The sequence below is a fragment of the Homo sapiens genome, chromosome 12 (assembly GCF_000001405.40).
Source record: "Homo sapiens chromosome 12, GRCh38.p14 Primary Assembly".
NCBI lineage: Eukaryota > Metazoa > Chordata > Mammalia > Primates > Hominidae > Homo > Homo sapiens.
The window spans coordinates 14,695,831-14,720,104 of record NC_000012.12 but is presented as its reverse complement, the minus strand read 5'-3'; the positions used below and the strand labels follow the sequence as shown (position 1 = coordinate 14,720,104).

Below are 24,274 nucleotides of genomic sequence, written 5' to 3'. Positions count from 1 at the left end.
GCAGAACCCAAAAGACAAAAAGAAGTCTTTAAAAGCAGCTACAGAAAAAAGATAAAGTAATTATATAAGACAGATAACTTCTTAACAGGAATGATGGATGCCAGAGGACAGCAGTATATATCTTCAAAGTGCAGTCTCACCCTGAAGTTGTATAGCTATTGAGAATTCTTTAAACTTATAACAATTTTTTATTTTATTTTTAATTATTTTCTTTTACCCAACCAAACAAGCAGCATTGAGAAAAGATTCTTGATCTAACTGTTAAGATAAATGTAATAGGAACACCACTGAAATATCATTTCTCACCTATTAAATAACTAAAAGTCAAAAATTTTAACAGCAGATTCTGCATCAGAGGCTATGAAGTAGGCTGGGCACAGTGGTTCACACCTGTAATCCCAGCACTTTGGGAGGCTAAAGTGGAAGGATTGTTTGAGCCCAGGAGTTGAAGACCAGCCTGGGCAACATAGCAAGACCTCGTCTCTACAAATAATAATAATTTAAAAAATGGCTGGGTGTGGTGGCACATGCCCGTGGTCCCAGCTACTTGGGAAGCTGAGATGGAAGAATTGCTTGAGCTCAGGCAATTGAGGTTGTATGAGCAATGACTATACCACTGCACTCCACTCCAGACCCTGTCTCAAAAAAAAAAAAAAAAAAAAAGGCTGTGAAGAGCCAGGTATTGTCATACATTACAGATTGGAATGTCACTAGATATAAAAGGAGGTAAAACATGAGTATATATTCCTCTATGCATTAAAAAAAACTATAATGTTTAAAGTAAAAGTAATAAAAATTACCTACATCAGGTGAGTGGAACAGAGGAGAATGATTCAAATAAGATTATACAGATAATTTTTATATTCAATTGTTTTCTTATTATTTGTAAAAGTTGTATTATATTCTGAACACATTAGTCCTTTGACAATTAGGCATACTGCAATTATTTCTTAGTTGTATTTTCATTCACTTTATAGTGCATTTGGTGAATTTTTTTAGTTCTTAATTCTAATGTAAGAAGAAAAACTTAGCATTTCCTCTATGATTTGTACTGTTTTGTGTTTGTTTAAAAAATCATATCCTCCTTACACATTCAAGAACAGATGATTCCAACCTTATATAAACTCTTCTAATTAACAGAAAAAGAAATAATACTCATCAACTAATTGTATGAGGTTAGTACAACTTTGACACCAAAACCTGACAAAGGCAGTTCTTTCTCATATGAGAAAGGCAAATTGTGGACCAATATTACTCAAGATACAGATGCAAAAATCCAAATAAAATAATAGCAAGCCAAACCTAGCAATATATAAATAAGAAAATAAATATATTTTGACCAAGTTGCATTTGTTTCATGAATGCAACTATTCCATGAATAGTTCAACATGACAAAATAGGCTGATATAATTTTCTTATTAAAAAATAAAAAGTTGACGGGGTTCTGTGGCTCACGCCCATAATCCCAGCACTGTGGAAGGCCAAGAGCGGGAGGATCGCTTGAGGCCAGGAGTTCAAGACCAGCCTGGCCAACATGGCAAAACCCCGTTTCTACTAAAAATACAAAAATAATCTGGACATGGTGATGCACACCTGTAGTCCCAGCTACTCAGGAGGCTGAGGCACAAGAATTACTTGAACCTGGGAGGCAGAGGTTGCAGTGAGCCGAGATCATGCCACTGCACTCCAGCCTGAGCAACAGAGCAAGACTCTTTCTCAAAAAAAAAAGTTGAAAAAACATTTTGATAATCTCAATAGATGCAGAAAAATCAATATAAAGTTTAAATAATAAAGTTTTTATGATTAAAAACTTTAAAAACTAGGGATAGAAAAAAAATCTTTCTATCCTGATAAAAGAATCTAAAACTATAAAATAAAATAAAAGCTAAATGCCTACAGTAAATATCTTACTTGGTAGTGAAATGTTAAAAGCATTACCTTTAAAATCAGAAACATAACAAGATATAAACTGTTAGGTAAAACAGTAGATAAGACAAGAGGGAAAATAAGAATATAAAAACTGTCTTACCTCCCCACCTAGGCAAGCTAAGATGCAGAATCTCGCCGCTCCTATTTGAAACAGTATCATAAAGAGAGAAGAAAGGGAAAAGAATATTTAGCAGATGATATGTTTGCATATATAGAAAACTTCTTTTATCTAGAAATTACTAGAATGTAATGAAAGAGTTTAGCAAGGTTATCAGATACAAGATCAATATTTTGAAATTTAAGTTTCTACCCAGGAATTATTTTAAAAATATACAACATACGCTTTATAGTCAAACAAACATATATATACTAGTTATGAATACTTCTAATAAATAATATATAAAACAGTTGGGAAGATAATTATAAAACTTCATTTAGATACATTAAGAAAGACGTAAATAAAGGGGCAGACATACCATGTTCCTAAATAATAAGATTCAATATACTAAAGATGTCAGTTATCCCCAAATTGATCATGCCCATAGTTTTTAACCTTTACACTATCCTCTAAAGACACTAATGGAAGAAATCTTTTTTTTTACATATAAGGAGGATTATATTGCTGTACCTTAAAATATTTTGCACTCCACCTAAGTGTAATAATAGGAAGGAAAAATAAAAGAATACAAGTTCCATATTGCTATATAGAGAATATTAAAGTCTGAATAACATTTAAAAAATGGAAAATAATCAGCAGAAGGTCATAGTCATCAGGAGATTAATATTGAAAACTACAGTAAACAACTTTGTAATGCTTTATATTATTCAAATTACTGTCATATTCACCTTTTCTTTTTCATTCTTCAATGTCCTTTTAAAATCTGTTTATTCAATAAGTATTTATTGAATTTTGACTATACTGTTCTAAAAGACAGGGATACAGAAATGAACAAGATAGTTCAATTCCTTGAATTCAAAAAGTAAACTAATATCAAATGATAAATTTTTTTCTAAAAAATAAAGCAGGATAATGTAACAGGGAATGACTACGGGTAAGGGGTGCTCTTTAAACTGGGTGATCACAGAAAGTGTCTTTGCAAGGTGCCATTTGAGCTGAGCTGTGATAACAATAAGGACACCAGGGGGCAGAGCTTTCTGGGAACAGCTGATGTAAATGTCCTTTAGTGGGTGGAACTTGGAGAGCCAAGCAGAGAGTGATAGGAGATGAGACCTGCAATGTGAGCAAGATAGTTATCATGCAGAGGAGTGGTTCTCAAAGTGTGGTTCATATTCACCTTGGGTGAGGGTTCCCAAGACACTTAAAGGGATCAATGAGATCAGTATCATAAGAACACTAAAATGTTACTTGCCTTTCCTCTATATTGACATTCATGTTAATAGTGTAAAAGGAAAATATCTTGGGCCCCCAAAATCACTAAGGAAAACTCAAGCTGGAAACTGTTTAGGGCAAACCTGCCTCCCATTCTATTCAGTCACTCCTCTGCTCATTGAGATAGATGCATATCTGATTTGCCTTCTTTGGAAAGGCTAATCCGAACCTCAAAAGAATGCAACCATTTGTGTCTCACCTATCTGTGACCTGGAAGCTCCCTTCCCACTTTGAGTCTTCCTGCCTTTGCTTCAAGTTGTCCCACCTTTCCAGACCAAACCAATGTACTTCTTACATACATTGATTGATGTCTCATGTCTCCCTAAAATATACAAAACCAAGCTGTGCTCTGACCACCTTGGGGACATGTGGTCAGAACTTCCTGAGGCTGTGTCATGGGTACATCCTCAACCTTGGCAACATAAACTTTTTAAATTGAGACCTGTCTCAGATGTCTGGGTTCACATACAAAAGCAATAATGGTAAAACCACTGTAGCCTTGAGAGTAGGTGCCAGTTGGGCTTCCTGGGTCTAGTAGGGGCTCAGAAAGCTGTGAAACGTTTCACTCATTTCCTGCATCAGGACTTCCTTCAGTCCTGGATAAATAATATTGAAGATATATGCTTAAAATATGCCTAACACCAGGATTTGTGCATGTGTTTTCTTCCCCCAAGAAAGCTATAAACAGCGAAAATTGTGCTGTAAGTTTCCCTGTCTTCTCTCCTTTCCCTCTCCCCCAAAACTAAAGTAAAAGAAATGTTAACTGCCCGTTTTTCTGTGACCAGCAGACCTTATCTAGTAATACTCCCAATTCCAATTCCTTGTAAACATACTTTGTAAAGTCCTGTAATATCCTGTCTCCTTTGCCATGCCGCTGCAAGGTCATAAAGTAGATAAAACCTAAGTTGCAATTCCAGTTTTCCTCAAAATCTAAGACATGTCACAAAATAATTTACTGCCTTTGTTTCTCGCTCTGGTAGCATCTTCCCGCTGCACGTTATTTCCCGCCTGAAAGAGTTTAAAAGGCAATCACCCAAAATCAACAGTGGCTACCCCTTCAGGACCTCTTCCACGCTGCAGAAGCTTTATACTTTCTTTTTTCTTTCTTTTTTTTTTTTTTTTTTTTTGAGACGGCGTCTCGCTCTGTTGCCCAGGATGGAGTGCAGTTGCGTGATCTCGGCTCACTGCAAGCCCCGCCTCCCGGGTTCTTGCCATTCTCCTGCCTCAGCCTCCCAAGTAGCTGGGACTACAGGCGCCCGCCACCACGCCCGGCTAATTTTTTGTATTTTTAGTAGAGAGGGGGTTTCACCGTGTTAGCCAGGATAGTCTATCGATCTCCTGACCTCGTGATCCGCCCGCCTCGGCCTCCCAAAGTCCTGGGGATTACAGGCGTGAGCCACTGTGCCTGGCCAGAAGCTTTGTACTTTCACTCTGCTCAATAAAGCCTACCGCTTTTTCTCTCTCTCTCGGTCTGTGTCTCTATCACTGGCCGCAGTTAGCCGCCACCCCAATTCTTTGGCGTGGCTAGGCAAGAACCTTAGGCATTACAACCTCAGCACAAATCAAAGCAGTGACACCAAACTCCACTAGTGGTCATTATATTCTTCATCCACTACAACTTATTTGTATGATTGCTTGAGTCATAAGCTGAAATAGACACTGTTTTATGGAAATGATTTTTACTTGAAACGCAAATTATGGTTACTCAGACTTGGGTGTTTGACACATAATCTGAGTGGTAAGTTCCCACTAGGTGCTCAATGAATGGCAGATGTTAATTCACAGCATTTGAGCTTTCTCCCACTTTCATTTCAGTGGCCTTTTTATGATTCCCTAAATTCTTATTAACAGGAGTTATTAAGAAATTATTTTTAGGCAGCCAGAAAGGGTAAAAGTTCTTGGTGAAATTTTCTTTTAATAAAAAGCAGCCCCAAATAATTTCTTCCCTAACAGAAAGCACCCTGAAAAGTCAGGCATAGATATGCAAACTAGGAGATTTTATATGTAAATGCCGGCAGCTGTACCTGGAAGCCAGGTACATTCAATATGGCACCTCCCGCCCTCTTTTCCTGGCACACCATGTGTGCCAGTGCTTTGGCAGCCTCTAGGTAAAACCACATGTACGGGTATCATGGCAACCAGCCAGGTAGAAGCCACATTTGCATAATAAAAGTCTAGGGTGGGAGGGCCAGTCTTTTCGGGCTATGTAAATGGCACACCTGGTCAAATCAATCCCCTGGGCCCTATTAAAATCAATCACCGCCTCCTCAAGCCTCTGTACAAAATCGATTTCATTCTGCCACAAACCAGAGACCCTCTGTTTGGCAAGCTGCTTTCTCAGCATGAAGAAGCCTTTTCTCTCTCTCTACCTTTTTGGCTATTAAACTTTCCTCTCCTAAACCCACTCCTGATGTGTGTCTGTGTTGTGAATTCTTTCTCGACCGTGACAAAGAACCAGGGTATATTCCTCAGACAACGGAGCCATTTCATTATCTTAGAGCCCAATCATTTCTATTTTAAGTATCGATTTTTGTATGTTGTCTGCCTCACATGCAGACATTTATTAAGCAAACACAAGCAGAGGAGACACAGTCAGATGAAGTCAAACCCTCCGTTCTCTGGGAGGGTCTCAATAGTTTCATACTTTCCTGCGTCGAACTTTCCTGAAGGTCCATTTTAGATCCTCAGCCCTCTCCCCCTTCTCAGCAATCTTCTTCACCATGCTGTTTACATGTTTTGATTTGGGAATTATTTTTTCTTTGTCTGAGCATACCATTTCCAGGAACACTTCAACTTGAAGAGAGGGAATTTGAAATCTGCATCTCAACTACTGTCATCACTTCTTCCGTTTTTAGAATTAGGTTCGAAAACTTTGAGCTGTAAAACTATTATGTTATTGCTAACCATCCTTCTTTTAAGAGCAAATGCCCAACTATTTTTTTGTCTCCAATTTTTCTGTGGGGGTCATGTAAAAAGTCCACATGCCTTCTGCATGGCAGTTACACAGCAAGAAGACACAAGAAAATTGACACCAGAAACTTCATGATCCGACTTCCTCCATGTTCTCATGCTAAAAACCAAACCTCCTGTATCAGTTATCATTCTTGCTAACTTCATGTTTATGTTACAACCTGCTCTTGCAAATTTCTGAATTTTTTCCAAGAATTCTCACTAGCTTCCACATTCACATTTTCTATATAATTGTATTTTTTCCCCACAAATTTACAGCTTTGTATTTTGTTGACTCTTAGCTTCTGCTTCTCTTGCAAATGCCTTAATTTAAATACTGTCCCCTTTTATTTCACAAGGATGTTGTGAGCGCCAGCTGTAAATGGCCTTGGCCTCCATTTATTTTCCATCCTTACTCATCAGGATAGAGTGCTATCACTGTCTTGGTCTCTGAGAATTTTAAAAGCCTACATGATGTTTGAGAGCTAGGGGAAAAAGTATTGGGTCCAAAGTACACAAATATAACTGTCACTGGTGGAGGGTGTCCAGGTTCTTGGCATCTTGAACAAAGAATTGGACAAAATGCACAAACAAAGCAAGGAAGGAATGAAGGAATTTATAGAAAATGAAAGTACACTCCACAGTGTGGGAGCGGGCCTGAGCATAGGGGCTCAAAGACCTTGTTACAGAGTTTTTGTGAGTTTAAATACCCTCTACTTGGGGTACGCCCTATGTAAATGAAGAGGATGAAGTAAAGTTACAAAGTCATTTACTCAGTGTATGCCCTATGGAGAGGATATTTCTTGTCATAGCTGTAGTGTGAATCGGCCTTATGTTCCCTGCCTCCAGACCCTATTTTCTTGCCATATAACTACAAAATCAAAACTAATTTATTATTCCAACAGCAAAACTGTACAACTCCTTTCTATTTTTAACAGAAAAATAATGTGTGTGGAATGTGACTGCATTTAATACATTTGATTTAATGAGTCTTTGGGCAACTGGTTTTGCAATCTTGAAGGATTAAGAAGTCTTTTCTCCTCGTTGATCTTATCACTTTAAATCTGATTCTTTCCATCAGACATTTGTTCATCCTTTGAATAATTTTGCCAAGTTTGAAGCATTAGAGAAATTATTTTTTCCTAATCTCATGCATAACATGAAAAGGAGTATGTACCATTTTATATTTCTTAAATTCTGTTTTTGTTTCAGATATGTTCTGCTGGTTTGCTGTAAACATATTTCAGACAACAAATAGATATATCTAAATACATATAGCTCAAACTTCTGTTCCTGTGATAGATTCTAAAGATTTGTTTTAGAAATAATTTTTAAATCACTTCTAGCCTGTCATTTCTTGAATATCACTAGAATTTCTTCCCACTACCATTCTTTTCTAATATAATAAAATTGGCATATATTTTAAAATTCCAATTAAATTAGTTTCAATTAAATGTTTAATGTTAGGTAAGAAATATCTATAATGCACAAAAGCCTCAAAAAGAAAGGAGTAATCTATTCTGCCGTGTACAGAAAGGCATCGAAGAATAACAATAATTAACATTTGTTGAGCACCTACTCAGCTAGGTGCCAGGAACTTTATGATACCATTTTCTGATGTAATGAACCCAAATTTCCCCACACTGGGATCTGCAAAGTTTATAGCAAGAGTAGTAACTTATTTTCACTTGTTGTTGACCCTGTATTTCTAGAAGTTGCTGGGCATGTTTTGAACATTGTCCAATCTGCCTACGTATGCTGGGTACTGCCATGGACCCGCTGAGCATGAGCATTCATCAGGTGGTGCTCAGGCCTGATGAACAGGGCCCAGGCCAGGAACAACAGCCTCCCCTTTATGTGATGGAGCCTGGTAGAGGGGCCCTAAGCAATGATATCTCTGTCTTAATATTCAGTCAGTGCCCTATTGGGTTGTTCTTCCAGTTTTTTTTTTCCAGGCCTTTTTCTCCCTTAAACTAAGGTATGAATTTATGGGCTGAACTGCAGACAGATTTGAGTAATACGACAGCTAATCTGTACACGTCAATGCTTGCCTGTTTTTCTTAGAATGGATTACTTACTCTTGAACCACAGGTACTTGGATTTTGTTTGAGCAGATCCCATCAATCGCCTTGCACACTTACCCATGTCCAAAATCCAGCAAGGGTCACAGCTTAGGCCTAAGCCGGAAAATTGGTTAGGATAGAAAGTAAATTTATTTTAGAAATGAGAAAACTGAGGATCGGCAAATATAGGTAACCTGCCCAAAGTTCATATGCTTAGCAAAGAGCCAAAACAAGGTTCAAATCCAGCTCCAAGTTGTGTGTGTGTGTGTAAAACTGTCTCCTAGAATTCAAAGAAGCTCCTCTTTGTCTCAAGATATGCCATTCTGTTATTTAAATGCTTTCCCTACCTTTTTAACCACAAGGTAAGGATACGTCAATAAACAAAACTCACCATTTCTCTGTTTACACTTCAGAGAAATAATCACAGTCTTTCTTTCTTTTCTAAGCTATCATTTTAACCTACATAAGGAAGTAATCTTTCAGCTGCCTTAAAGGGCAAAAACAAGAGTGTTAGCTGACTTTTCTATGAATAATACAGAGTTTCTTTATAACTGTTGAAATATCAGCCCAACTAACCACGCTTTGGCATCCTAGGGAGTGAACTGTGTCTGTTCCTTATGTTGTGTTTGATTTAGGAGAAAACAGGAAGTGTTTCCAGCACACAGACAAGTTTATTATAGCTGAGACATATTGCTACTGTCTCCAAACACACTTTCCTTAGTATGTAAACACAACCACCTGGACAGAAGAGCCAATCCAAGAGGCAGAAGAAAATTTAACAGATTTTTCATCTATCCTTGACAAGTGTAACAATCACCTGCTCCAACCTTTCTGGAGCACAGAGAACACGGTATTTAAAAGGTTTGGAAAGGAGGGAGAGGAAGACACTGCTCAAGCATTGAATAGAGTTGGAATGGGGGAGGGGAGAATCCAGGACACTGGTACACCAAGGAAAAGAAACAAGCCTGTCAGTTTGAAGCATCCCAGACACTAGCACTAGGTTTAGATGCGAAACACTAGGAATGATTTTGTGTCATTGGGTTCACTCCACGTTGTTGTCTAGCTAAGACTACTTTGAATCTCTTTTCATACTTGTAGAAGATCCAATAACCCTCCCCAGCTGATATAGTTTGTGTCAGGCCTCTGAGCCCAAGCCAAGCCATCGCATCCCCTGTGACTTGCATGTATACCCCCAGATGGCCTGAAGTAACTGAAGAATCACAAAAGAAGTGAATATGCCTTGCCCCACCTTAACTGATGACATTCCACCACAAAAGAAGTGTAAATGGCCGGTCCTTGCCTTAACTGATGACATTACCTTGTGAAAGTCCTTTTCCTGGCTCATCCTGGCTCAAAAAGCACCCCCACTGAGCACCTTGCGACCCCCACTCCTGCCCACTGAGCACCTTGTGACCCCCACTCCTACCCGCCAGAGAACAAACCCCCTTTGACTGTAATTTTCCTTTACCTACCCAAATCCTATAAAACGGCCCCACCCTTATCTCCCTTTGCTGACTCTCTTTTCGGACTCAGCCTACCTGCACCCAGGTGAAATAAACAGCTTTATTGCTCACACAAAGCCTGTTTGGTGGTCTCTTCACACGGACGCGCATGAAATTTGGTGCCATGACTCGGATCGGGGGACCTCCCTTGGGAGATCAATCCCCTGTCCTCCTGCTCTTTGCTCTGTGAGAAACATCCGCCTACGACCTCAGGTCCTCAGACCGACCAGCCCAAGAAACATCTCACCAATTTCAAATCCGGTAAGCGGCCTCTTTTTACTCTCTTCTCCAACCTCCCTCACTATCCCTCAACCTCTTTCTCCTTTCAATCTTGGCGCCACACTTCAATCTCTCCCTTCTCTTAATTTCAATTCCTTTCATTTTCTGGTAGAGACAAAAGAGACATGTTTTATCCATGAACCCAAAACTCTGGCGCCGGTCACGGACTGGGAAGGCAGCCTTCCCTTGGTGTTTAATCATTGCAGGGACGGCCTCTCTGATCATTCAGCCACATTTCAAGGGTGTCAGACCATGCAGGGATGCCTGCCTTGGTCCTTCACCCTTAGCGGCAAGTCCCGCTTTTCTGGGGAAGGAGCAAGTACCTCAACCTCTTCTCTCCTTGTATCTACCCCTTCTCTGCTTTCCTGGGGCAGGGGCAAGTACCCCTCAACCCCTTCTTCACCCTTAGCGGCAAGTCCCGCTTTCCTAGGGGGCAAGAACCCCCCAATCACTTATTTCCGCACCCCAACCTCTTATCTCTGCGCTCCAATCCCTTATTTCCACACCCTGACCTCTTATCTCTGTGCCCCAATCCCTTATTTCCGTGTCCCAACCCCCTCTCTGCTTTTCTGGAGGGCAAGAACCCCACTCCCCTCCTCCGTGTCTCTATGCTCTCTTTTCTCAGGGTTTGCCTCCTTCACTATGGGCAACCTTCCACCTTCCATTCCTCCTTCTTCTCCCTTAGCCTGTGTTCTCAAAAGCTTAAAACCTCTTCAACTCACACCTGACCTAAAACCTAAATGCCTTATTTTCTTCTGCAATGCCGCTTGACCCCAATACAAACTCGACAGTAGTTCCAAATAGCCAGAAAATGGCACTTTGAATTTTTCCATCCTGCAAAATCTAAATAATTCTTGTCGTAAAATAGGCTAACGGTCTGAGGTGCCTGACGTCCAGGCATTCTTTTACACATCAGTCCCTTCCTAGTCTCTGTGACCAGTGCAACTCGTCCCAAATCTTCCTTCTTTCCCTCCCGCCTGTCCCCTCAGTACCAACCCCAAGCGTCGCTGAGTCTTTCTAAACTTCCTTTTCTACAGACCCATCTGACCTCTCCCTTCCTCCCCAGGCTGCTCCTTGCCAGGCTGAGCTAGGTCCCAATTCTTCCTCAGCCTCTGCTCCTCCACCCTATAATCCTTTTATCACCTCCCCTCCTCACACCCGGTCCGGCTTACAGTTTCGTTCCGTGACTAGCCCTCCCCCTCCTGCCCAGCAATTTACTCTGAAAAAGGTGGCTGGAGCTAAAGACATAGTCAAGGTTAATGCTCCTTTTTCTTTATCCCAAATCAGAAGTGTTTAGGCTCTTTTTCATCAAATATAAAAATCCAGCCCAGTTCATGACTCGTTCGGCAGCAACCCTGAGACACTTTACAGCCCTAGACCCTAAAAGGTCAAAAGGCCGTCTTATTCTCAATATACATTTTATTACCCAATCTGCTCCCGACATTAAATAAAACTCCAAAAATTAAATTCCAGCCCTCAAACCCCACAACAGGATTTAATTAACTTCGCCTTCAAGGTGTACCATAATAGAAAAAAGTTGCAATTCCTTGCCTCCACTGTGAGACAAACCCCAGCCACATCTCCAGCACACAAGAACTCCAAACGCCTGAAACGCAGCCAGGCGTTCCTCCAGAACCTCCTCCCACAGGAGCTTGCTACATGTGCCGGAAATCTGGCCACTGGGCCAAGGAATGCCCGCAGCCTGGGATTCCTCCTAAGCCGCGTCCCATCTGTGTGGGACCCCACTGAAAATCGGACTGTTCAACTCACCTGGCAGCCACTCCCAGAGCCCCTGGAACTCCGGCCCAAGGCTCTCTGACTGACTCCTTCCCAGATCTTCTCGGCTTAGCGGCTGAAGACTGACACTGCCCGATCGCCTCGGAAGCCGCCTAGACCATCACGGACACCGAGCTTCGGGTAACTCTCACAGTGGAAGGTAAGCCCGTCCCCTTCTTAATCAATACGGAGGCTACTCACTCCACATTACCTTCTTTTCAAGGGCCTGTTTCCCTTGCCTCCATAACTGTTGTGGGTATTGACGGCCAGGCTTCTAAACCTCTTAAAACTCCCCAACTCTGGTGCCAACTTAGACAATACTCTTTTAAGCACTCCTTTTTAGTTATCCCCACCTGCCCAGTTCCCTTATTAGACTGAGACACGTTAACTAAATTATCTGCTTCCCTGACTATTCCTGGACTACAGCTATATCTCATTGCCGCCCTTCTTCCCAATCCAAAGCCTCCTTTGCGTCCTCCTCTTGTATTCCCCCACCTTAACCCACAAGTATAAGATACCTCTACTCCCTCCTTGGCGACCGATCATGCACCCCTTACCATCTCATTAAAACCTAATCACCCTTACCCCACTCAACGCCAATATCCCATCCCGCAGCACTCTTTAAAAAGATTAAAGCCTGTTATTACTCGCCTGCTACAGCACGGCCTTTTAAAGCCTATAAACTCTCCTTACAATTCCCCCATTTTACCTGTCCTAAAACCAGACAAGCCTTGCAAGTTAGTTCAGGATCTGCGCCTTAGCAACCAAATTGTTTTGCCTATACACCCCGTGGTGCCAAACCCATATACTCTCCTATCCTCAATACCTGCCTCCACAACCCATTATTCTGTTCTGGATCTCAAACATGCTTTCTTTACTATTCCTTTGCACCCTTAATCCCAGCCTCTCTTCGCTTTCACTTGGACTGACCCTGACACCCATCAAGCTCAGCAAATTACCTGGGCTGTCCTGCCGCAAAGCTTCACAGACAGCCCCCATTACTTCAATCAAGCCCAAATTTCTTCCTCATCTGTTACCTATCTCGGCATAATTCTCAAAAACACACGTGCTCTCCCTGCCAATCGTGTCCGACTGATCTCTCAAACCCAAGCACCTTCTACAAAACAACTCCTTTCCTTCCTAGGCATGGTTAGCGCAGTCAGAATTTTTACACAAGAGCCAGGACCACACCCTGTAGCCTTTCTGTCCAAACAACTTGACCTTACTGTTTTAGCCTAGCCCTCATGTCTGCGTGCAGTGGCTGCCGCTGCTTTAATACTTTTAGAGGCCCTCAAAATAAGTAGAGGCCTTTCCTACAGGGTCGGAGAAGGCCACCGCAGTCATTTCTTCTGTTCTGTCAGACATAATTCCTCAGTTTAGCCTTCCCACCTCAATACAGTCTGATAACAGACGAGCCTTTATTAGTCATATCAGCCAAGCAGTTTTTCAGGTTCTTAGTATTCAGTGAAACCTTTATATCCCTTACGGTCCTCCGTCTTCAAGAAAAGTAGAATGGACTAAAGGTCTTTTAAAAACACACCTCACCAAGCTCAGCCACCAATTTAAAAAGGACTGGACAATACTTTTTACCACTTTCCCTTCTCAGAATTCTGGCCTGTCCTCAGAATGCTACAAGGTACAGCCCATTTAAGGTCCTGTATAGACGCTCCTTTTTATTAGGCCCCAGTCTCATTCCAGACACCAGACCAACTTAGACTGTGCCTCAAAAAAAAAAAAAAAAAACTTGTCATCCCTACTATTTTCTGTCTAGTCATACTCCTATTCACCCTTCTCAACTACTCATACATGCCCTGCTCTTGTTTACACTGCCAGTTTACACTGTTTTTCCAAGCCATCACAGCTGATATCTCCTGGTGCTATCCCCAAACTGCCACTCTTAACTCTTGAAGTAAATAAATAATCTTTGCTGGCAGGACTATGCCAAATCTCCTTAAGCACTCTCTAATCAGACGTCGAGTCGTCCCAATTCGTAGACCTTTTATACCTGTTTTTCTCCTTCTGTTATTCCATTTAGTTTTTCAATTCATACAAAACCATATCCAGGCCATCACCAATCATTCTATACGACAAATGTTTCTTCTAACATCCCCACAATATCACCCCTTACCACAAGACCTCCCTTCAGCTTAATCTCTCCCACTCTAGGTTCCCACGCCGCCCCTAAGCCCGCTTGAAGCAGCCCTGAGAAACATCGCCCACTCTCTCTCCATAGCACCCCCCAAAAAATTTTCACCGCCCCAACACTTCAACACTATTTTGTTTTATTTTTCTTATTAATATAAGAAGGCAGGAATGTCAGGCCTCTGAGCCCAAGCCAAGCCATCGCATCCCCTGTGACTTGCACGTATACGCCCAGATGGCCTGAAGTAACTGAAGCATCACAAAAGAAGTGAATATGCCTTGCCCCACCTTAACTGATGACATTCCACCACAAAAGAAGTGTAAATGGCCGGTCCTTGCCTTAACTGATGACATTACCTTGTGAAAGTCCTTTTCCTGGCTCATCCTGGCTCAAAAAGCACCCCCACTGAGCACCTTGCGACCCCCACTCCTGCCCACTGAGCACCTTGCGACCCCCACTCCTACCCGCCAGAGAACAAACCCCCTTTGACTGTAATTTTCCTTTACCTACCCAAATCCTATAAAACGGCCCCACCCTTATCTCCCTTCGCTGACTCTCTTTTCGGACTCAGCCTACCTGCACCCAGGTGAAATAAACAGCTTTATTGCTCACACAAAGCCTGTTTGGTGGTCTCTTCACACGGACATGCATGAAAATTTGAATGGTTGTCCCCTCCAAATATCACGTTGAAATGTGACCCCTCATGTTGGACGTGGGCCTAGTGAGAGGTGTTTGGGCCCTGGGGGAAGATCCTTCATGAATGGTCTCCCTATGGTAATGGGTGAGTTCTTGCTCTGTTAGTTCATGGAGGATCTGCTTGTTTAAAGGAGCCTGGCACCTCATCCTCTCTCTCTTGCTCCCTATCTTGCCATGTGACACACCTGCTTCCCCTTCACCTTCTGCCATGAGTAAAAGCTTCCTGAGGCCTCCCCAGAAGCTGAGCAGATGCTGATGCCATGCTCGTACAGCCTGCAGAACTATGAACCAAATGAACCTCTTTTCCTTATAAATTACCCAGTCTCAGGTATTCCTTTATACCTGCAATGCAAAATGGACTAATACACGAATGTTTGATCAAGTCCCTGAAGTCCTGAGTTACCCTGATCACCTTTCTGACTTTAAACTCCTGCTTCTGTGAATCATCTTGACATCCTGTTCCTGTTCTTATCCCATCAGTCTAGACATGGATCTGATCACCTTTCCATTGTTCCCACATATTAGGCAAGCTGCATATGGCACAGACTTGAAGGTTTGGGAAAAGTTAACTATATTGTCATGTTTTATCAGTTTTAAATTCCCACTAGAATACAATGATCATGAAGGCAGAAATTTGTTTGTCTGTGCTATAACTTTCATGCTGAGAACAATTAGAAGGCTCTCAATAAATACCTGCTGTATGAATGAAGTAGGCATTATTCCTCATGGAAAATAAAAGCAACTTCATATGTATTTTAGACATCCTTGGTTTTTGCTTTTTTGTTTTTTGTTGTTGTTATTTGAGATGGAGTCTCCCTCTGTCGCCCAGGCTGGAGTGCGGTGGCCCTATCTCGGCTCACTGTAAGCTCCACCTCATGTGTTCACGCCATTCTCCTGCCTCAGCCTCCCGAATAGCTGGGACTACAGGCGCCCGCCATCACGCCCGGCTAATTTTTTGTATTTTTAGTAGAGACAGGGTTTCACCGTGTTAGCCAGGATGGTCTGGATCTCCTGACCTCGTGATCCACGCGTCTCCGCCTCCCAAAGTGCTGGGATTACAGGCGTGAGCCACCACACCCGGCTGACATCCTTGTTATTAAAAGTCTTCAACCCACTTCCCATTATGTCTTTTTCACTGGCCATTTATTTCTTTGTAGCTCTTCACCTCTTGCCATTTTGTTGTTTTATCTCTTCCTTTTCCTCCATCTTTCCCCTTAACCTCCTTCTTCTTGGATTGCTCATATTTATTTATGCCTAACTCAGAAAGTTTGCATATCTAAATCCATTTAGTCTCAAACTCCTTCCCTCAAGTGAACCTCCTGCCTTGGCCTTTGAAAGTGCTGGTATTATAGGCATGAGCCACCGTGCCTATCCAAATCCATGTGAGACCTCTGCAAAATCATATATCCTTTTTGCTGCCTGACTTATCTGACATTATTTTACCCTATGTGAAGAGGACCAGTAAGTATTCCTTTCACAGGAAAAAAAAAATCAGTTAAAACAGGAATCATTAAAAATTATAAATTTATTCCTGAAAAGTTTTGTCTCAAAACATATTCATGTGCATTTATTCATCTATTGAAGTCAGGCCAAGGAATTTTCTTTGAGCACGGATGCCCTGATTGGATCTCTGAATCAGCTTTTGTAAGTAAACCACACCCATAGTGCATCATCTATTTCAGTATTTGATGTTTTTTGTTGTTGTTTTTGTTTTTGTTTTTAAGACGGAGTTTCGCTCTTGTTGCCCATGCTGGAGTGCAATGGTGCGATCTCGGCTCACTGCAACCTCTGCCTCCTGGGTTCAAGCGATTCTCCTGCCTCAGCCTCCCGAGTAGCTGGAATTACAGACAACCGCCACCACGTCCAGCTAATTTTTTGTATATTTTTTAGTAGAGATGGGGTTTCACCATGTTGGCCAGCTGGTCTCGAACTCCTAACCTCAGGTGATCCACCCGCCTCGGCCGCCCAAATGCTGGGATTACAGGTGTGAGCCACCACCCCTGGCCTCAGTGTTTGATGTTTTAAAACAATTGACAAGCACTCTAAGGACAGAATCTTTTTAGATTTTATATAGTATTCTCCAGCGTTTTACACAGTCTTGCCACGGTAATTTTCTTAGTAATTTGACTTTGTTTAAGATTTCCAACAATTTACGTATGCATTTTATTAGATCACCATTTAATTACATTCATTAAGGACATGATGAAATAATAAATAAAATTGTCAAATTTGGGTGCAAACAGAAGGGAGCTTTAGTAAGCATACGACTTAACTGGACTAAGCAAAAGTGCACATGTCCACTGACTGCAAGCATACAGTGCCTATTTCTGTTAAACTGGTGAAGTCTATTAAATCATCTGTTAAGAAATACTTTACTGCAGTCATTGTGCTTTAATACATTTCGATCAGAATTTCCACCACTGTGTTTAGCACAGAACTTTCATGTTCTAGTTCAATTAGTTCCTTGGTAAAATTCCTTTTGAAAAATCATCTTTGTTTCTCCAGTGAGATAAGGAGACAAGGGAAGACTAGGATTGCAATAGACTGAGGAGATGCATGTGTTCGCACAGGCCAAAGGGAGGGAAGGGCACTGTAGTGGAAAGGCTACAAAAGAGACCCAAACTGTTGCTAGAAACTAAAGAGTGGCAAACACAGGTGACTTGCTTAGCTGCCCCTTCCCATGTGGAGTAATTTCTTTTCCTTTTTTTTTTTTTTTTAGACCAGAGTCTTGCTCTGTCGCCCAGGCTGGAGTGCAGTGGCATGATCTTTGCTCACTGCAACCTCTGCCTCTTGGGTTCATGCGATTCTCATGCCTTAGCCTCCCAAGTAGCTGGGATCACAGGCACATGCCACCATGCCTAGATAATTTTTGTACTTTTAGTAGAGATGGAGTTTCACCATGTTGGCCAGGCTGGTCTCAAACTCCTGACCTCAAGTGATCTGCCTGCCTCGGCCTCTCAAAGTGCTAGGATTACAGGTGTGAACCACCGCGCCCAGCCTCTTTCTTTTCCCTTATCTTTAAAGGATCTTGTTCTGTATTGAAGAGTGTCTTAATCTGTTTGGGTTGCTATAACAAAATACCATAAACTGGGTGACTTATAAACTTCAGAAAGTGTTTTATGTTTTAAAGTTAAAATCGTAAAAAATAAGTGTGTTAACTAGTACTACAACTCTTCCCCAGAAGCAGCTGTATTTGCAGTTACCTCACCAAACGAAAGATACAAACTGTTGGTAAGTTCAACCAATCCAAATGGAGGTAACCCATTAAAAAAAAAATCTATAAAATTTAGACTGCAGCCACTCATCAGTTCACTTTAGTGGCCTTTCAGGGACCTTCTGTTTCTCAGCTGATAACACTTTGGCCCTGGGAGCTGCATCCCGCATCACAGGGCCTACATGGAGGAAGTCCAAGATCAAGGCACTGGCAGATTCAGTGTCTGGTGAGGGCCTGCTTTCCAGCTCAGAGACAGCTGCCTTTTTTATGTGTCCTCAAATGGTAGGGGGAGGAGAGGTCTCTCTGGGGCCTGTTTTATAAGACCTCTGGGGCTCTTATAAAAGAGGCCCCAGATTTTATAATCTCATTCATGAGGGCTCTCCTCTTATGACTTAATCACTTCCCAAAGGCCCTACCTTCTAATAGCATCACTTTGGGGGTTAGGATTTCAACACATGGATTTGAGGGAGACCTAAACATTCAGACCATAGCCAAGAATATGTCTCCTAAAGCTGCCAACTCAAATGTTCTATTATTTGGTTTTGACTCTTGAAACTCTCCCAGCAGAACCTGCCTACATTTAATTATGATCTGCATGTTTATAGTTTTATGACACAAAGAAGACACACTATTTGTCTTAAGGGATTCAGGAAGGACTGCTATTTTGATCCTTCACATTTGGAATTATGATCCTGGTTACATGCTATAATCAGAGGATTCCCAGAACTGCACCTACCTACTGTCTTTATAGCTGAATCAAAGCACCTGGCAGTTTTATCTATCTCATCAACTCCCTCCACATGGCTTTCTTTTATACTTGTAATTTCTGGACCACATTTTTTAAAAATAAAAACAGTGTATTCTATTCCTTCTCCTGCCCCAGGAAGTGGAAAGAGCAACAAATTAATAGTTAGAAAACCGTGTTTGAGTTCAAACTTGGCCACCAATGTGCCACACAGAAAATCGTTACCTGTAGCAAAGGCTGAGCATCCTTGTGATGGCCATGTGCCTGTCTTCAGCCTGGTACTGACATCCATTACAAATCCCCATGCAGCACCCAGTCCTGTCAATCACCCACAACAACCTATCCTGCCCCATAAAATAATCACAGCACTTTTCTTCTGTATCAAAGCTGAATCCTGTGAAGGTCCCGTCCTCTCTCTGGGAGACCCGGGATTGAACCCATCCTGTTCCACATCAACCATCTCCAAAACAACAGCCCTTGGCATCGTGTCTCCTCCAGTATTCTTTCACCCTCATACTGTTTTCTCTCCCCCTGATCTTTCTTCCTTCCCATTCTTTATCTCAAACATTTAACAGTGCCTTCTGAAATACCCATGCTATGGTCAACAAATGCCTCAATATTCTTTATCTCTTGATTAACTCTTCCCTACACCTCTTGGCTACATTGGGAGCAGAAAAGGATGATGTTTCGGGGATAGAGGACATAGGAGTGCGAAGGTCCTAGGTTCTAACTTGGATATATGAGTGTTCATTTTCTTATTCTTTTAATGTGTACATATTCATTACATATAGCCTTTACATGCATTATCTGCTTCCTCATTTTAAAATATTTTATAAAAACACAATCTCTGTTCTTTTGAGGCACATATCATTTAACCATAACGCTCAGTCCCTTTTCATCAGTCACTGTCAATTATTGGTCCTGATTGTTCTCCCTCATCTATTGCTGCATTGATAGATCGTCTTCTCCAGCAAGCACCTACTATCAATCTGGTTGATTTCAATACTCAACACGTGACCTGTCCAACAAACTAGATTCTGAGTTCCTTGAGCTCCTTGGTTCAAAGTCATTTTCTTCTTCCCTCTCTCAGCCTCCCTGAACTGTTCAAATCAGTAATGTAGAAAATCTACCCTCTAACTCCAACACTACCTTCCAAGTGTTTGCTTCAGTAATCCGCTTTTTACCTGGGCTGGACTGTGAGACCAGCTAAGCTGAGTTAAGGGAACTTGTGTTATATCAAGCAATCCCTGTCCTGCCCTAGGAGGCAGAATCCCACAATCCTCACTCATACAGTCAGTTCCAGCCGAGGCCTGAGGAGTCCATCCTCCTGCAATGGGAGATGCAGCTCCCAGTGCCAAGGTGATATCAGCTGAGAAACAGAAGGTCCCTGAAAGGCCACTCAAGTGACCTCATGAGTGGCTGCAGTCTAAATGTTAAAGAATTTTTTTTTTTTTTTTTGCTGGGTTACTTCTATTTGGATTGGTTGAACTTATCAACAATTGATATATTTTGTTTGGTGAGGTAACTGCAAATGCAGCTGCTTCCAGGGAAGAGTTATAGTACTAGTTAACACACTTATTTTTCACAATTTTAACTTCAAAACATAAATTTTGCCATAAGTGGTCAAGTCAGTGTTGTAAACAATGGCGTTATCTGATCAATCACACGTCTCTGATTTTAATTCCCAACTCCCATTTAAGTTCAGATTCTCTTCTCAAAATTCCATGGGGACTGTTTTCACAACTGCACAGACACCTTAAGATCCCTATGTCCCAAGACAGAGGTCATTATCTTCTCCCTCAAACCTGCTCCCCTTCCAGAATTCTAGAGCTCAGTAACCAGCTGAGCATATCAGGGTCATCTTTGATTCCTCCTTCTTCCTAATGTCCCAAATCCAGTCAAATACCAAGTCCCATCCATTTTACCTTTTTTTGTAATTTAATTTATTTATTTAGAGACAGGTTCTTGCCTGGTCATCTAGGCTGGGGTGCAGTGGCATGATCACAGCTCATTGCAGCCTTGAACTCCTGGCCTCAAGCAATCCTCCTCCTGCTTTAGCCTCCTGAGTAGCTGGGTATACAGGCATGGGCCACCATACCTGGCTAATTTTTAAAAAATTTTTCTTTATAGAGACGGGGCCTCTCCATGTTGCCCAGGTTGGCCTTGAAATCCTGATCTCAAATGATTCTCCTGCCTTGGCCTCCCAAAGTGCTAGGATGACAGGCATGAGCCACCATACCCAGCTAATTTTTTTTTTTTTTTTAGTACAGATGGGATCTCACTATATTGCCCAGGCTGGTCCCACATTTTACCTTTTAGATATTTTTTTAACACATCTCCAATGCCACCATCCTTATCCAGGCATTCTTTAGCTCTCACTTGTCTATAGCAACAGCCTCCCCATCAGTTCCCTGTTCCTATGCCTGCCTCTCTCCAGGACAGTTCTTCCATGGAAGTCTAAGCAGTCTGTTCAAAATTCATGTCCCTTTCTTGACTCTTAGGATATAGTCCCAAATCCCTATTGGCTTACAGGAAAGTCCATGCCCTCTCCCACCTACTCTTCTGGCATCCTCTACTGCCTCTTGACCCCCTAGTTCTCTCCACTCCAACCAGGCTGTAGCTCTTCAGTTTCTCAAACATGCTATGCCCCTTCTCACATCTGGTTCTTTGCACAAGCTGTCCCCCTGCCTGGTATGCCCTCCTTCCCTTTCATTCAGCTAATGCATTTATCCTCTTGTCTTAGCTAGTGGACACTGTCTCAGGGATGCTTCCTTGACTTTCTAGAAAAGGTTATGTTAATTTGCAATATGCTCTCATAGCACTCTGAATTTTTTTCATTGCTGAATTTAGTTATTCATATATTTGTTTATCCCATAAAAATATACAACTACTACATACCCTTAAAAATTAAAATTAATGCCAGGCGCGGTGGCTCACACCTGTAATCCCAGCACTTTGAGAGGCTGAGGTGGGCGGATCACAAGGTCAGGAGATCGAGACCATCCAGGCTAACATGGTGAAACCCCATCTCTACTAAAAATACAAAAACAAAATTAGCCAGGCGTGGTGGCGGGCGCCTGTAGTCCCAGCTACTTGGGAGGCTAAGGCAGGAGAATGGCGTGAACCCAGGAGGTGGAGCTTGCAGTGAGCCGAGATTGCGCCACTGCACTCCAGCCTGGGCGACAGAGCAAGACTCCATCTCAAAAAAAAAATTAAATAAAAATTAAAAAAATATTAAAATTAAAAAATAAAAATAGAAAATAAACATAATTATTTAATGTTTGCCTTCTCCCATTAGAATGCATGTTCCATGAGGACATTAATGTATCTATGTTGTTCATGGCTATATCTTCAGTGCCTTGCCAATGCTCAACACATAGTCAAATCTTAATAAGTAGTTGCTGCTTAACCTACAGAATGGGAGAAAACTTTTGCAATCTATCCATCTGGCAAAGGGCTAATATTCAGAATCTACAAAGAACTTAATCAAATTTACAAGAAGAAAACAAATAACCCCATCAAGAAGTGGGCAAAGGATATGAACAGACAATTCTCAAAAGAAGACATTTACGCAGCCAAGAAACATGAAAAAAAGCTCATCATCACTGGTCATTAGAGAAACGCAAATCAAAATCACAATGAGATACCATCTCATGCCAGTTAGAATGGCAATCATTAAAAAAGTCAGGAAACAACAGATGCTGGAGAGGATGTGGAGAAATAGAAACGCTTCTACCCTGTTGGTGGGAGTGTAAATTAGTCCAACTATTGTGAAAGACAGTGTGGCAATTCCTCAAGGATCTAAAACCAGAAATACCATTTGACCCAGCAATCCTATCACTGGGTATATACCCAAAGGATTATAAATCACTCTACTATAAAGACACATGCACACATATGTTTATTGCAGCACTGTTCACAATAGTAAAGACTTGGAACCAACCCAAATGCCCATCAATAATAGACTGGATAAAGAAAATGTGGCACATATACACCATAGAATACTATGCAGCCATAAAAAGGATGAGTGCATGTCCTTTGCAGGGACATGGATGAAGCTGGAAACCATCATTCTCAGCAAACTAACACAAGAACAGAAAACCAAATACCGCATGTTCTCACTTGTAAGTGGGAGTTGAACAATGAGAACACATGGACACAGGGAGGGGAAAATCATACACCAGGGCCTGTTGGGGGGTGGGGGGCTAGGGGAGGGATAGCATTAGGAGAAATGCCTAACGTAGATGGCGGGTTGATGGGTGCAGCAAACCACCATGGCATGTGCATACCTACGTAACAAACCTGCACGTTCTGCACATGTATCCCAGAACTTAAAGTATATATATATATACACTTTATATATATATATATATATATATATATATATACACTTTATATATATATATATATATATATATATATACACTTTATATATATATATATATATATATATATACACTTTATATATATATATATATATACTTTATATATATATATAAAGTTAAGGATTTCGTTTCAATGTGCAGCTAAAACTTAAGCACTAATAGTCAATTGTAGCTGTGTTTTCCTAAAGCCCTTTGACCTTTATTTTCCACTTCACAAAGTTTGTTACATATATGATGTATTGCCCTCTTTCTCTTTTCCCTCTTCCCAGTGATGCATCACAAATTATTGCATTTTTATTGGGTGAGGCCCAGCTAATCTCTCTGTTTATAGCTCTGACCTTTCTGGGTGCAAACACAAAGTGAACTTTGGTTTATCTCCTGCCATAACGTAGCTGCTAATTACTGGCAAGCAGGCTGTGTTCCACGGCCCATGTGACCAGTTGGGCATGACCAGAGAGAAGCGTGGGGAAGAGTGGGCTGAGGGACTCCACTAGAGGCTGTCCATCTGGATTCCCTGCCTCCCTAGGAGCCCAACAGAGCAAAGCAAGTGGGCACAAGGAGTATGGTTCTAACGTGATTGGGGTCATGAAGACGTTGCTGTTGGACTTGGCTTTGTGGTCACTGCTCTTCCAGCCCGGGTGGCTGTCCTTTAGTTCCCAGGTGAGTCAGAACTGCCACAATGGCAGCTATGAAATCAGCGTCCTGATGATGGGCAACTCAGCCTTTGCAGAGCCCCTGAAAAACTTGGAAGATGCGGTGAATGAGGGGCTGGAAATAGTGAGAGGACGTCTGCAAAATGCTGGTAAGAAAATGTTAATAGAATCTTCCTCCACTCTGTTACTACCTCTGGGGACAAAATGTTGCTAAGCAAAGACCTTGTGTTCTTTGATCACACAACTTTCTCTAAGGACTGTCCCTAAACCCCTTTCTATTTCATGACAGTAGCTCCTTAGAGAGAAGAATTTGAACCCTATTATGCTGTGCTCACTCACACTTCACCTTGCTCTGGGACTAGCCCTGACTCAGGAAATGTAAAGTGTTCACGGCAGTGAAACGTCCCAGTTAAAACTGGGTTTAGGCCAGATGTGGTGGCTCACGTCTGTAATCTCAGCAATTTAGGAGGCCAAGGAAGGAGGGACACTGAGCCCGGGAGTTCAAGACCAGCCTGGGCAACATAGCAAGACTCCATCTCTTCAAAAAGAA

General features: G+C 41.7%; 1 protein-coding gene and 1 long non-coding RNA gene across 3 annotated transcripts in view, besides 6 other annotated features; one reads left to right on the top strand and one right to left on the bottom strand.

The window, feature by feature from the left end:
- GUCY2C-AS1 (GUCY2C antisense RNA 1) overlaps positions 1–24,274 on the bottom strand; it is a 70,584-nt gene that overhangs the window by 16,115 nt on the left and 30,195 nt on the right. Inside the window, exon 5 of the long non-coding RNA NR_186173.1 lies at positions 2,030–2,070. This is a non-coding gene — a long non-coding RNA (GUCY2C antisense RNA 1). The remainder of the gene's footprint in view (positions 1–2,029; positions 2,071–24,274) is intronic.
- Positions 5,296–5,590: a silencer, noted in NCBI's record as "tiled region #453; HepG2 Repressive non-DNase unmatched - State 22:ReprW". NCBI's record gives its function as "represses a minimal TATA promoter and a strong SV40 promoter by Sharpr-MPRA in HepG2 cells {active_cell/tissue: HepG2}" and the evidence as "EXISTENCE:reporter gene assay evidence [ECO:0000049][PMID:27701403]".
- Positions 9,247–9,779: an enhancer, noted in NCBI's record as "OCT4-NANOG-H3K27ac hESC enhancer chr12:14863260-14863792 (GRCh37/hg19 assembly coordinates)". NCBI's record gives its function as "activates a minimal SCP1, AML or CMV promoter by ChIP-STARR-seq in naive and primed H9 embryonic stem cells {active_cell/tissue: H9 hESC(naive and primed)}" and the evidence as "EXISTENCE:reporter gene assay evidence [ECO:0000049][PMID:30033119]".
- Positions 9,780–10,311: an enhancer, noted in NCBI's record as "OCT4-NANOG-H3K27ac hESC enhancer chr12:14862728-14863259 (GRCh37/hg19 assembly coordinates)". NCBI's record gives its function as "activates a minimal SCP1, AML or CMV promoter by ChIP-STARR-seq in naive and primed H9 embryonic stem cells {active_cell/tissue: H9 hESC(naive and primed)}" and the evidence as "EXISTENCE:reporter gene assay evidence [ECO:0000049][PMID:30033119]".
- Positions 14,039–14,570: an enhancer, noted in NCBI's record as "OCT4-NANOG-H3K27ac hESC enhancer chr12:14858469-14859000 (GRCh37/hg19 assembly coordinates)". NCBI's record gives its function as "activates a minimal SCP1, AML or CMV promoter by ChIP-STARR-seq in naive and primed H9 embryonic stem cells {active_cell/tissue: H9 hESC(naive and primed)}" and the evidence as "EXISTENCE:reporter gene assay evidence [ECO:0000049][PMID:30033119]".
- Positions 14,571–15,103: an enhancer, noted in NCBI's record as "OCT4-NANOG-H3K27ac hESC enhancer chr12:14857936-14858468 (GRCh37/hg19 assembly coordinates)". NCBI's record gives its function as "activates a minimal SCP1, AML or CMV promoter by ChIP-STARR-seq in naive H9 embryonic stem cells {active_cell/tissue: H9 hESC(naive)}" and the evidence as "EXISTENCE:reporter gene assay evidence [ECO:0000049][PMID:30033119]".
- Positions 17,893–18,093: a silencer, noted in NCBI's record as "peak1579 fragment used in MPRA reporter construct". NCBI's record gives its function as "represses an SCP1 promoter by STARR-seq MPRAs in K562 erythroleukemia cells {active_cell/tissue: K562}" and the evidence as "EXISTENCE:reporter gene assay evidence [ECO:0000049][PMID:32103011]".
- The window catches only part of GUCY2C (guanylate cyclase 2C), an 83,968-nt gene continuing 83,199 nt past the window's right edge, over positions 23,506–24,274 (top strand). Inside the window, exon 1 of one of the 2 annotated variants that reach the window (XM_011520631.3) lies at positions 23,506–23,731. Coding sequence is in view for 1 of the 2 variants with exons in the window: in NM_004963.4 (NP_004954.2) it covers positions 23,657–23,873 (217 nt within the window). In the remaining variant the exon portion in view is untranslated. Of the gene's footprint in view, positions 23,874–24,274 lie in introns of both variants that reach the window. The other variant, NM_004963.4, reaches the window with a different exon arrangement.